Source organism: Homo sapiens, chromosome 2 (assembly GCF_000001405.40).
Source record: "Homo sapiens chromosome 2, GRCh38.p14 Primary Assembly".
Taxonomy (NCBI): Eukaryota; Metazoa; Chordata; class Mammalia; order Primates; family Hominidae; genus Homo; species Homo sapiens.
In genome coordinates, this window is record NC_000002.12 from 88,873,462 (window position 1) to 88,886,499 (window position 13,038).

The 13,038-nt window shown below is 38.3% G+C and overlaps 1 gene segment (V, D, J or C) and 1 further gene, besides 2 other annotated features; both read left to right on the top strand.

The window, feature by feature from the left end:
* Positions 1-13,038, top strand: part of IGK (immunoglobulin kappa locus) — a 1,378,008-nt gene that overhangs the window by 16,101 nt on the left and 1,348,869 nt on the right.
* Positions 12,111-12,159: a sequence feature (IGKV4-1 leader sequence).
* On the top strand, positions 12,111-12,692 carry IGKV4-1 (immunoglobulin kappa variable 4-1). The segment is given in 2 exon segments: positions 12,111-12,159; positions 12,379-12,692. Coding segments are annotated over 2 exon segments (363 nt in total), but the record flags the coding sequence as incomplete, so codon positions are not given.
* Positions 12,379-12,389: a sequence feature (IGKV4-1 leader sequence).

Here is a 13,038-nt window from a genome sequence, read left to right on the forward strand (position 1 = left end):
GCAGCTGTCTAGCTCTGAACCACCTGCCTCCAGAGTCCGCCTTGGTGAGAAAAATGTATCTCTTTATCTGATCAAGCTCCTCTAGTTAGATTTCAACTACATATAGCTGAGTGAATACTGATGAATACTGAATAATGAATGCTGGTACAACTTTCTAATATCTTCTCTTAGAGTTCTGCATTGAAGTTTTTAAATAAGTTTAGTCTATACCTTTCTTTTCCATTTTCAGTCTTCAATTTTGACTTCAAGATAATTCTAGTCCTATGATGTGATTTATGTTTCTAAATAATGGCATTTACCCTCTTTCACTATTCCCTGGAATTGGAAAAAATAGGTTATTTATTTATTTATTTATTTATTTATTTATTTATTTATTTGGGTTTGGGTAAAACTTAACCATATGTTTAACAGGACCTGGACTTTGATTTAAGCAAACTTAGGGTAAAGACAGTTTAAAGACAATCAAGGAAATTGGAATAGAAAATGGGTATTGGATATTAGGGAATTACTCTCAATTATGCTGGGAATCATAATGGAATGGTGGTTGTTTTTTAAAAGTCCTTATCAGTTGGCAACGTATTAATGATTGGCTGAAAAATACTGCCAGTGTCTGTGTGTGAGGAGGTGAGAGAACAGAGTAATTGGATGAGGGGGGAGGCGGTAGTTGAAACAAGATTAGCAAAATGTTAATTTGTGAAGCTTAGGGTTCATTATACTATTTGTGTATATTCATATTTCTATAAACACTAAAAATGAAAATAAAGTGGTCTCGTGTTGCTGACTGTGACTGTCACACTCTGTCAGCAGATGGCAGTGTTGTATAAACCATGAGCCTACATAGGCCTAATGGATCATTGTGCTTGCTAAGTAACAAAATCAATGATACGATATAAACCAGGTCAGATTTTATTGCTTTTAGACAAAAGGGCAAGGTAAGATTTGCAGAGTAAAGAACAGGTACAGAGTAATAATAAATTATTTTAAAAATTCTAAGTGATTCATTAAAGTCTTATAGACAAGTTGGGTAGAAAAGTACGTAAAAACCCCATAAACCTATAAACTTACTAGAATTATAAAATCATTTGGTCTCTCTCTCTCTCTCAAACTCTCCCCTTATTTGCATTTTAAATCAGTATTTTCATACATATATATTTGCAAAACCTTATTGATTTCATTGATGAAAATGACTTGGAGTTTGCTTTAAAACCTTACACGATAAACATAAATATTATTCTGTAGTTCTTTTTACCCAACTTTTAACTGGCATAGTTTAATCTATGAAAACAGCTCCATATTTTAAAAGATTCTCTAACTATGACAACAGGCAACATTTCATAGATGATAAAATGTCTTATCAACTAATACCTAATATTTTAACTTAGGTTATGTACAGTAGCTTTAAGAACCAGTTGTAGAATTTGATATATAGAAAATAATATAGACCCTGTCACTGGGCAAACTTATGGTGGAATCATTTTTTGTGTTGTTGTGGACAAATTAGTTATTCTTTCTGAACCCCTGTTTGGATATATATTTTTTAAAGCCCATAATTTGGGCATCCTCATAAAGTAGTGACGTCTGAAATTAAACAATCAATGTAAGAGAGCTAGTTTCCTTTCTCGGCAAGAGAATATGACTCTAAAATTTATGCCCAAGTTAGACTATTTTTATCTTGCCTCTTTCCCCTAGAATATTTGGGTTTAATTAAAAATTTACAATGAAATTAGAAAAATAAAAATAAAAATCGAAAATCAAATGGAGATAAAATAACAGTGGTAATCAAAATAGACCCCTATTTTGATCTAAAAAAGAAAAGAAAAAAAGATAATTTGGACATCATAAAATTAAACTTCTGCTCTTCACATGGCACGTTAAGAAAATAAAAGGCGCCACACATTGGGAGAACATATTCATAAAACACAAATGTGAGAAAAAAATCATATGCAGAATATACAAAGAACTCTCACAGTCCATAGTAACAACACCCCAATAAAAACTTGACCAAAAATTTGAAAGGATATGTCATCAAAGAAGGTATATAGTGAAGTTAAAATACTAGGCTCGAGCAAGTGGAACCCTCATTCACTGCTGATGGGAGTGCAAAAGAGCACAGCAACTTTGGAAAACAGTTTGGCAGTTTCTTATAAAGTTCAACATACACCTACCAGATGACTCAGCAGTCCCAAAGCTAGGAATTTACCCAAGTGAAATGAAATCCTGAGTTCACACAAAAACCTGCATTGGAAAGCTTACAGCAACTTTATTCTTAGCAGCTAAAAATTAGAAATGACCAAATGGCTTTAAATTGTTAACTAGATAAACAATCTGTGGCATATCCACACAATGGAATACTACTCAACAATAGACAGTGAACTAGTGCTACACGAAACAGCAAGGATGAATCTCAAATGCATTCTCCTAAGTGAACAAGTGAACAAAGCCAGACTCAAAAGGCTTCACATTGCATGGCTCTATTTACATGACATTCAGGAAGAGGCAAACGATTGGATCAGACAAAAACCAGTGGTTGCCAAGGGCTGGGGTGAAGGAAGGGGCATAAAGGAACTTTAAAGGATGAGGGACTTGTCCTATATCTTGAATGTGGTTGTGGTTACACAGCTATGCATTTGCCAAAACTTATAGAAATATACACGAAAAGGTGGCTTTTATTGTAATTTATACCTCAGTAAACCTCACTTAAAATAAGCAGTTTTTGATTGAACATAAAATCTGGTTCTGAGCTTCTTGGAAACCGACTAAATGAAGATAATGTGTTATGTTACATAACTTTCATCTAGGGGAAAAATTTCTAGTTTCTACGTGTGACTGAAGGTTTTCCTGGGATAAAAGTTGAAGACAATTTCTATCTTGGGGCATTGCATAGGAGCTGCTAAATGGATAATATTGGGGGCACTGCATAGAAACGGCATTGGATAATACTCTCAGTAGTAATTTCATAGAGAATAAAAAACAGAATTCGTATGATCTTTTTTTTACTTGTATAAATTTAAGCAATACAGGTGCAATTTTGCTACATAGCTATACTGTGTAGTGGTGAAGTCTGGGCTTTTAGTGTATCTATCGCCTGAATCATGTATATTGTATCCATTTAGTATTTTCTCATCACTCAACCTCCTTCCACCCTTCCACCCATCTCAATCTCCAGTGTTTATCATACCACACTCTATGTCCATGTGTACACATCATTTAGCTCCCACTTATAAGTGAGAACATGTGACATTTGACCTTCTGTTTTTGAATTATCCACTTAAGATAATGGCCTCCAGTTCCAACCACATTGCTGCAAAAGACATGATTTCATTCTTTTCTTTATAGCTGAATAGTATTTCATTGTGGTATGTGTATACACACACACACACACACACACACCACGTTTTCTTTATCCAATCATCTGTTGATGGACACTTGGGTTGATTCCATATCTTTGCTATTGTGAATAGTGCTGCAATAAACAAGTGAGTGCAGATATCTTTTTTATATAATAATTTATTTCCCTTTGGGTAGATACCCAGTTGTGGTATTGCTGAACCACATGGTAGTTCTATTTCTAGTTCTTTGAGAAATCTCCATAGTGTTTTCCACAGAAGCTGTACTAGTTTACATTCCCACTAATAATGTGTAAGTATTCCCTTTTCTCTGCATCCTTGCCAACATGTTATTTTTTGGTGTTTTAATAATAGGCATTCTGACTGCTGTAAGATAATATCTCATTGTGGTTTTAACTTGCGATTCTCTAGTGATTAGTGATTTGAGCATTTTGTTTTTTGTACGCTTCTTGGCCATTTGTATACTGTATTAGTCTGTTCTTATGCTGCTAATAAAGACATACCCAAGATTGGGTAATTTACAAAGAAAAAGTGGTTTAATTGACTCAGTTCCATATGGCTGGAGAGGCCTCACAATCATGGCAGAAGGCAAAGGAGAAGCAAAGGCACATATTACATGGAGGCAGGCAAGAGAGTGTGTGCAGGGGAACTCCCCTTTATAAAATCATCAGATCTCATAGGACTTATTCAGTATCATGAGAACAGCATGGGACAAACCTGCCCCCATGATTCAATTACCTCCCACCGGGTCTCTCCCATGATATGTGGGGATTATTACAATTTAGGGTGAGATCTGGGTGGAGACACAGAGCCAAACCATATCATATACCTTCTTTTGAAAAATGTCTATTCATGTCCTTTGCCCACTTTTTTGGTGGGGTTATTTTGCTGTTGTTGTTGAATTGTTTGAGTTCCTTCTAAATTCTGGACATTATTTCCCTGTAGGATGCATAGTTTGCAAATATTTTCACCCATTCTGCAGATTATCTGTTCACTCTATTGATTATTTCTCTTGCTGTTCAGAAGCGTTCTAGTTTAATTAAGTCCTGTTTGTCTATTTTTGTTTTGGTGCTTGTGCTTTTGATATCTTAGTCCTGAGTTCTTCACCTAGATTAATTCCAGAAGCATTTTCCCTAGGTTTTCTTCTAGTGTTTTTGTAGTTACAGGTCTTATATGTAAGTCTTTAATCTGTCTTGAGTTAACTTTTGTATTTGGTGAGAGATAGAGGTCTAGTTCCATTCTTCTGCATATGGCAATTCAATTTCCCCAGTACTGTCTATTGAAAAGGATCCATATGACTATTTCTTGTATAAATGTTGAATGTGAATAGAGAACATCAGATGGCAAAGCTGGTATGTGGCTTTACCATCTGTAAACAGATGGTGGACTGTCCATCTGGTGGTCTCAGAGGGTGGCCTCCTAGGTATTCACCTTGATGAAGTTAGCAGAGCTGAGGCCACACTTTTAGACTTGTGTGCTCACAAACCCTTGGATGCAAATTCAGAGCTGGATAGATTCATTCTATTGCAAACCAACATGTTGATTTATTCATCTGTGCCTAGAAATCTAACCATTCTGTAAACTTGATGACAGCATCCTCTGGCCAGCATGTTTCTTCCTAGTTGGAGGCGTGGTGTGTTTGATGGAGCATCAACTTAGACACAGAATTAGAATCTTAACTCTGCATCTTATGAACTGGGTGTGACATTAGGTAAATTACTTAACTTTCCCCAAGCCTCAAATTTCTCATCTGAAATGTGGAAATAATAACGTTTCTCTTATAAACTTGCTGTGAGGAGTAAATAAAATAGTGTTTATGAATTACTTAGCATAGTCCCTGGGCATGTAATTTCTTAGTAAGTACTAATTTTTGTTGGTTAGATCCAGTTACAGGGGAAGCAAATTTACAGATATGTGGTTCATGAGCAACAGATTTTCTGGATTATTGTCTTACACACAGTAACCAGACTGATCTTTAAAAATCACAAACAAGAAACAAATCAAATTATTCCCCTGCTTAAACTCTCTGGAGGTTTCTTATTGCACTTAGAAACTCATTGTCATGATCCCTAGGCCAACACCTGTGGTTCCCACCCTTGGCTGGTGTGCATAGAATCTTCTGGAGAACTTTGAAAACTACTGGTGCCCAAATTGATGCCTAGAGATTCCGAAGAGTCTGGTCCATGTGGGGACTGGGCACTGTGACTTTTATTAGCTCTCTAGTTGTTTCCAGTATGATCTTGCCCTGACCCCTCCCTCCTGTCTGTGTTTCTTATTGGGCCTTCTCTCCTTCCCTGCTCCTATGACTGGGACCTCCCTTCTAATCTTTGAATGTGCTGAGCTCTTCCTTCAGGACCGAAAGCCTCTTCATTACTGAGCCAGGTGCTACCACCCCTTCTATGTCAAGCTCACATTCCATCTTCGTTATGACTCTGGCCTCTGGTCAGAACTTGGGGTGCTCTTTCCCTTCAGGAAGTTGGGACTTGGAGGGCTGGGACTTCACCATCAGAGTCTTTTGTGCCTGGTTGTAGTTGGAATCTCGTGCATTTTCATGTAGAGGTTACACTGTTTGCAGGGCCCATCTGGTCTTCACAGTGAAGAGAGAAGTCTTAGCTGTTCAAAAGTCATGTTGCTTGCTATTGGAGCCCCTGATATGTGGCCCAGATTATGGTAAGGCGAGTGAGTGAGGCATTGCCTTGGTCATAAATTTTAAGGAGGTCCCGCAAACTCAGTAGTCAAGATAAATAATATTTTAATGCAATATTTAAACAATCAAAATTAATGCAAAAAATCCATGATGAAAAAAAAATCAGAATTCAGGTCAATTCCAGGTTGATTTAGTGAATAAAGAGATATCAATAGGGACTGCTTTATTTTTTTATATTTTATTTACTTAATTTTTTTTTTTTAAGATGGAAGTCTCGCTCTGTTGCCCAGGCTGGAGTGCACTGGCACAATCTTGGCTCACTACAACCTCCACCTCCTGGGTTCAAGTGATTCTCCTGCCTCAGCCTCCCAAGTAGCTGGGATTACAACTGCCTGCCACAACTCCTGAATAATTTTGTATTTTTAATAGGGACGGGGTTTCACCATGTTGGCCAGGCTGGTCTTGAACTCCTGAGCTCAAGTAATCCACCCGCCTTGGCCTCCCAAAGTGCTGGGATTACAGGTGTAAGCCAACACGCCCAGTCACGGACTGTTTTATATTTGTGGTTAAGGGGGATTTAAGGGATAATTTGAGTCTGTTCTGCTTTCTTGGGTTGTGTTTCTCAAACTGGCTTATGGGGATTTCCAGCGATGTAAATTTTGTGATGAAAATATTTTATAGTAAAGCACACATGGCCATATTGTGGAAAGAAATGCCAAAATTTTATGAAACTTTAAAATAAATCAAGCTCAACTACTGGAGAAGCTGAGGTAGGAGGATCGCTTGAGCCCGGGAGTTGGAGGTTACAGTGAGCCATGCATTCGAAAGCAGAACAGAATCGAATTATCCCTCGAATGCGCTACAGCCACAATATAAAACAGTCATTACTGATATCTCTTTATTCACTAGATAGATCCTGAATTGTCTCGCTCTGTCTCCCAGGCTGGAGTGCAGTGCGAGACCTTGTCTCTAAAACAAATAAATAAATAAATACAAACAAAAACAAGCTCAAGACTTTGAAGAAATGATACCCCGGAGCTTTCAGACCAGAGACTCCCGAGTTACACACATTTTCTTCTTTCTGCCACTAGGTGGAGGCAGTGGAGCAGGTTGAGAATCACTGTCATAAAGCTTGTAATTAAAGAACATCAGAGTGCCAGACAGTGGAGCTGCTATAAAGTGCAGAATAACTACTCCTGTCCTATACTTGGTCGCGTATGAGCGGGAAGTGAATGGAAGGGAGGCTCGAAACAATGGGAAGAGCCGTAAGAATCAGGTCTGATAAACTTACATAAACGGCCTTGCACACAACTTTTCTGGCTGAACCTGCACTTCCCATAAGTCAAATGCAAATGTTGGAAGGAATATCTTGCGAGGTTCTTTCTAGCTTGTACAGCCTGAGCTATTTTAAAGGAGAAAAGCTGACGAGCAATCGTCCTTGGAATTTGCAGTGCATAAACTTGACCAGCAAAGGGCAGCAGTGCACACACCTTTTAAAAAGTAACTTTCCAAATTTTCTACTGCCATGAGAGAGTTCTGATTCTACAAATAGGAGACAGTGTTTGGACCACTTAATAACAACCAACCATAAAAGTAAATTTTCTTTTTATTAAACCTTTTAATTTTACATTTGTAAACAGAAAAGAAATCCTTATTTTGTTGGCTCTGGGACATCACTTTCTTGGTTCAACTCCTTCCTCCTGACCACTGCTTCTAAGTCTCCTGTGCTGTTTTCTTCTCATCTCTTCGACCTCTACTTGTTGGGTTACCTGCCAGGTCCCAGCCTGCCTTCATTGATTTAACTCATTGCTAGTAACCTCGCCCTGTTTCCCAAATTTGCATCTCCACCCGGACTATTTCCCGAACTCCAGAATCACGCATATTCATCCACCTGTCCAAGGGATATTGCCAATTAGAGGTCTAGCAGGCATCTCAAATGTCTAATATGTTCAACTCTAATCCCTGATTCCCGCCTGCCTTCCCCATCTCAGAAAATGTCCTTCCAAATTCTCTAGTTGCTCAGGTTAAACACTTGCAACCACCTTGATTTCACGTTTCTCCCACGCCTCACATCCAATATGTTAACAAATTCTATTTTTTCTACCTTTGAAACATGACCAGAATCTGACACTTTTCACCACAGTTGCCACTGAGCCTCTTGACTATTATCAAGAAAGGAGATGTGTTCTGTTTTGTAAAGATTATTAAAAGATGTTAAATTGGGACTTTTTTTGTATTTGTTTTGTAAGGTATCTCAAAGGCCAAGAATAATATAATGGATATTGTGTTCTCTAATGGAACAATTCATTTTCTCTCCTCCTCCACTGCATTTTTGGGGATGGTGGAAGTATTGGAGGATTTTCAGAATAAGAAACAATTTTATTGCTGTTCACCAGATGTCAGGAGGGTATGGTGTGGTGGGCCTGGGAGTGGACTGTTTAACCCTAGAACTTAGAAACCAGTGTCCCTGTGGAGCACAAACCCTAATAGGTCTTGGTGAGTAACAGAATAGATAAAAGAGAGCTCAGTCTGGTCATAAATCCTTTGGCCAGTTGCCATTCATTGCCATGAGAAATTCCCCAAGAAGACACCCACCTCTTTTTCAGGCAATTCTGTTTACTAGATTCTGGAGGATTCGTTATCATCGAAGAACCCTGCCTTCTAGTCAGATGGTGCATTAGTCAGAATTCTTTTTGCAAGTAACATAAGTCAGCTGTAACACATACAAGTAGAAAAGGAATTAGAAAAAGAAAAGTAGTTATACTAATGTGAAAGAAAAAATAAACCTCAGGACCCCAAAAATCACTAAGCCAAAAGGGAAAGTCAAGCTGGGAATTGCATCAGGCAAACCTGCCTCCCATTTTATTCCTAAATAAGATAGCTACAAAGAAAAAAAAGCTACATACCTCCCTCACAATTTGCCCACAAGGTAATTCCTTGTGGACAAAGAAAGGACAGAGCTCAAAGTCATCCCTCTGTTCACTTCAGACAAATGCATATGCAATGCTTCTTCTGCCCTACTGTTTCAATAAGCCAGACTAAGGCATAAATGACTATTTCTCTACCTGCCTTTCACATGTGAAAGGCTGATCAGAGACTCAAAACAATGCAACCCCAGCAGGAAGCCCCCTTCCCTGCCTTGAGTTGTCACACCTTTCCAGACCAAAGCGATGCACATCTTCTACATATCGATTGATGTTTCTTGTCTCCCTAAAATGTATAACACCAAGCTGTGCCCCGACCCCCTTGGGCACATATATCAGGACCTCTGGAGACTTTATCATGGGCTTGTCCTTAATCTTGGGAAAATAAACTTTCTAAATTAATTGAGATCTGTCTCATACTTTGAGTTCACACTAGGTTGTTCACAAAGACACAAGGAAGGCTATAGATCCAGGATGGGGCTATGCAGGTGGAAAATGTACCTTTGATCATGTCACCAAACCAGTCCAGGGATACGCCCAAAACATGCTTGGCAGCATGAGGCTGCAGTGTGCACTGATGACATTAGTGCTTATGGACTTGGTCTCACTGCTAGTGAGAGTCATTTTCTTGATTATTTTTCTCAAATTTGGGTGAGGTGAATGTGTAGCTCCACAAGATGGTGTAGAGGGGGCAATGTGAAGCCATGTAACCTTATTGAACATCTTTTTGGAGTGTCCATTTTACTTGAATGGTTCATGGAAAAAAATTATATTAAAATTTATACACACATAAAAGGCACAAGTTGTAGTATTTACTACGAGAAGAAAACATGATTTAAGAGATAAGCTTCAAACTGCACAAATAGCAGTAGGGGAGACGAAGATAGTTATTCACTTCCCTCTGCTGCTTATTGTGAACCATGAGAAGCCCCATCTTAAAGCGTCTGAGGAAGTACATGGACTTATAATAGCAAATCTATGCATATATCTTATTTTAGCCTTTTCTGCTAGACTTTGGGTTGGAGAAGTGATGTGAGAAGGTGTAAAGAGCACAAAATTAGGAGTCAAAAGGCCTGGTTTTAGCCTCAGCTCTGCCACGAACTAAGTGACCTGGGTTAAGATATTTCTATCTGTGCCCTCTAAGATATTTCCTTACATCAAAGAATGCAATAGATAATTTCTAAGGTTCTTTTTGGCTTTTAGTCTCTAGGTCATTGGAATGGAGACGTTAGGCGAGCATTCTTCTTTGGAGCTGTAGAACATTAGTTTGATCACCAGAAGGCACAGGATCCCATGGTGATATAGGATTATAGGAAATGAACAAAACACAGTCTTCTCTCATGCACTTCTCTCACAGTCTTCTCTCACTTCTCTCTCTCTTTTCTGTTTTGTGTATTTATATTTTCCATAATAGGGTAGGTTATACCACTGCCCCAAATCTCATGGCCTAGCTCCAACAAATGCTTATATCTTGCTCATGCTACAATCTTCACCAGGGCCAGAAAGGTGCTCTGCTCCATGCAGCCACTCAAGGATCCAGGCAGACAGAGGCTCTACCATCTTGTATTTGCACCATTTGGAGCACATGGCCTCTTAAGTTGCTTATACAGATAAAGGATAGACTGGAAAATTCCGTAAGATCTTTTTCCTGCCTCAGCCTGCAAAGGATGTATGTATGCCTATTTCTTTGGCCATAGCATTTGTAAGGAGACTGGGACATATAGGTGAGCAAATGGAACATATACAAAGTAATAATGTCTCTAAGATAAATATTTACAATTCACAAATGTACAAAGAATTTTATAGATGCATCCATAATTCACATTTTGTGTCATTATCACCATTTTCTCCTAAATTACATAAAACTTATTTTATTTATTGACATGTGCTTCATATTTATCATTTATCACTGCCTGCTAATTTTCATCAGGAGCATCAATGGCTATTCAATATCCTATTTATGTACCATAGTTTATAAATGTATTGACATTTAAGTGATAATTTATTATGGTTTTTTGCTATTATAACTTATTGAATTGATGAAATGACATACTTTTATTAACTGATTTTTCTAATATTAATTTCTAGTTCCATGAGGCTTTCCACTTTGGATGGTAAAAAGGGAGATAGCATTTCTACTTATATGCATAAATTAATTCTAGGTAGTGAATTTTATTTATCTGGGAATAATTTTTAGATATGGCAACTCTCATTCATTTTGACAAGAAAAATCTAAAGCTCATAAACCCTGAATCCTATATGCTTACTCTCACAAAAATCTCTAATGTCCTGCTGGGATTTATCCACAGTTTAGATTAGACCTGGAATACATATGGTCATGCAACAATGATCTTAGAACAGGACTTTAACTTGGCTTTAGGAACTGAGGCTGAGAGTAATAGAATTGATTTTTTTGTGTGTGTGTGAAGCTCCTATTATAATAATGAGAATACTTTGATTCACTCAGTTAAAGTTTTCCCCTGATTTATTGTGTACATACAATGAAGGATCAAGAAAGAGAAATTTTTAAATGGAAGCATTAGCCAGACAAGTTTGACCTCACAGTTTTACTAGGGGATATATCACCTAGTTTTGGATCTATTTCTAACATCTTAACATTGTGAAAAGAGTCTTGGGAAACTGGTTAAATCCCAAAGAATGCTGCAATAGGAGGTTGGCCCTTATGAGTTATTTAATATCTTGAGCTGCCTTCGGAAAATGTTGCTGAGCAGGCATTGAAGAGTATCGATAAAATTTATTGAGAATTTGTTTATTATGATTAACAGAGGTAAAAGCCAGTATATTACTGATTAATATAGGTAAAAGGCAGTTAAGAAATTGGGAATGCTTTCTCTTCTGCTTTCTTCTACGATGCACAAGGCGTTTCACATTTATGCCCCTATGAAAATTACTAGGCTGTCCTAGTCATTAGATCTTTCAGCAGTTTGTAGTTTTAGAGCTTCTAAGTTGACTTCTGTCTTTTCTATTCATACAATTACACATTCTGTGATGATATTTTTGGCTCTTGATTTACATTGGGTACTTTCACAACCCACTGCTCATGAAATTTGCTTTTGTACTCACTGGTTGTTTTTGCATAGGCCCCTCCAGGCCACGACCAGCTGTTTGGATTTTATAAACGGGCCGTTTGCATTGTGAACTGAGCTACAACAGGCAGGCAGGGGCAGCAAGATGGTGTTGCAGACCCAGGTCTTCATTTCTCTGTTGCTCTGGATCTCTGGTGAGGAATTAAAAAGTGCCACAGTCTTTTCAGAGTAATATCTGTGTAGAAATAAAAAAAATTAAGATATAGTTGGAAATAATGACTATTTCCAATATGGATCCAATTATCTGCTGACTTATAATACTACTAGAAAGCAAATTTAAATGACATATTTCAATTATATCTGAGACAGCGTGTATAAGTTTATGTATAATCATTGTCCATTACTGACTACAGGTGCCTACGGGGACATCGTGATGACCCAGTCTCCAGACTCCCTGGCTGTGTCTCTGGGCGAGAGGGCCACCATCAACTGCAAGTCCAGCCAGAGTGTTTTATACAGCTCCAACAATAAGAACTACTTAGCTTGGTACCAGCAGAAACCAGGACAGCCTCCTAAGCTGCTCATTTACTGGGCATCTACCCGGGAATCCGGGGTCCCTGACCGATTCAGTGGCAGCGGGTCTGGGACAGATTTCACTCTCACCATCAGCAGCCTGCAGGCTGAAGATGTGGCAGTTTATTACTGTCAGCAATATTATAGTACTCCTCCCACAGTGCTTCAGCCTCGAACACAAACCTCCTCCCCATACGCTGGGCCAGTAGGTCTTTGCTGCAGCAGCTGCTTCCTCTGCACACAGCCCCCAACATGCATGCTTCCTCTGTGTGTTGGGGAGGTCACTCTCTTGATTTATTCGTTGGAGGGTTTGCAGGGCCCAGGATTAAATTAAGAGACTTGACTTTTGCTGGATCTCTTTTTGTAGAAGATTATTAAAGCAAAATGTTGTAAAGATCCCTTAGAGACATTGTCAGGAGTTTTTGTGTTGCAGGAACCTGCATGTTTCACATGGACACATCACATGACCGAGCCAAATAGATTTATCTTTACTCTCTAGA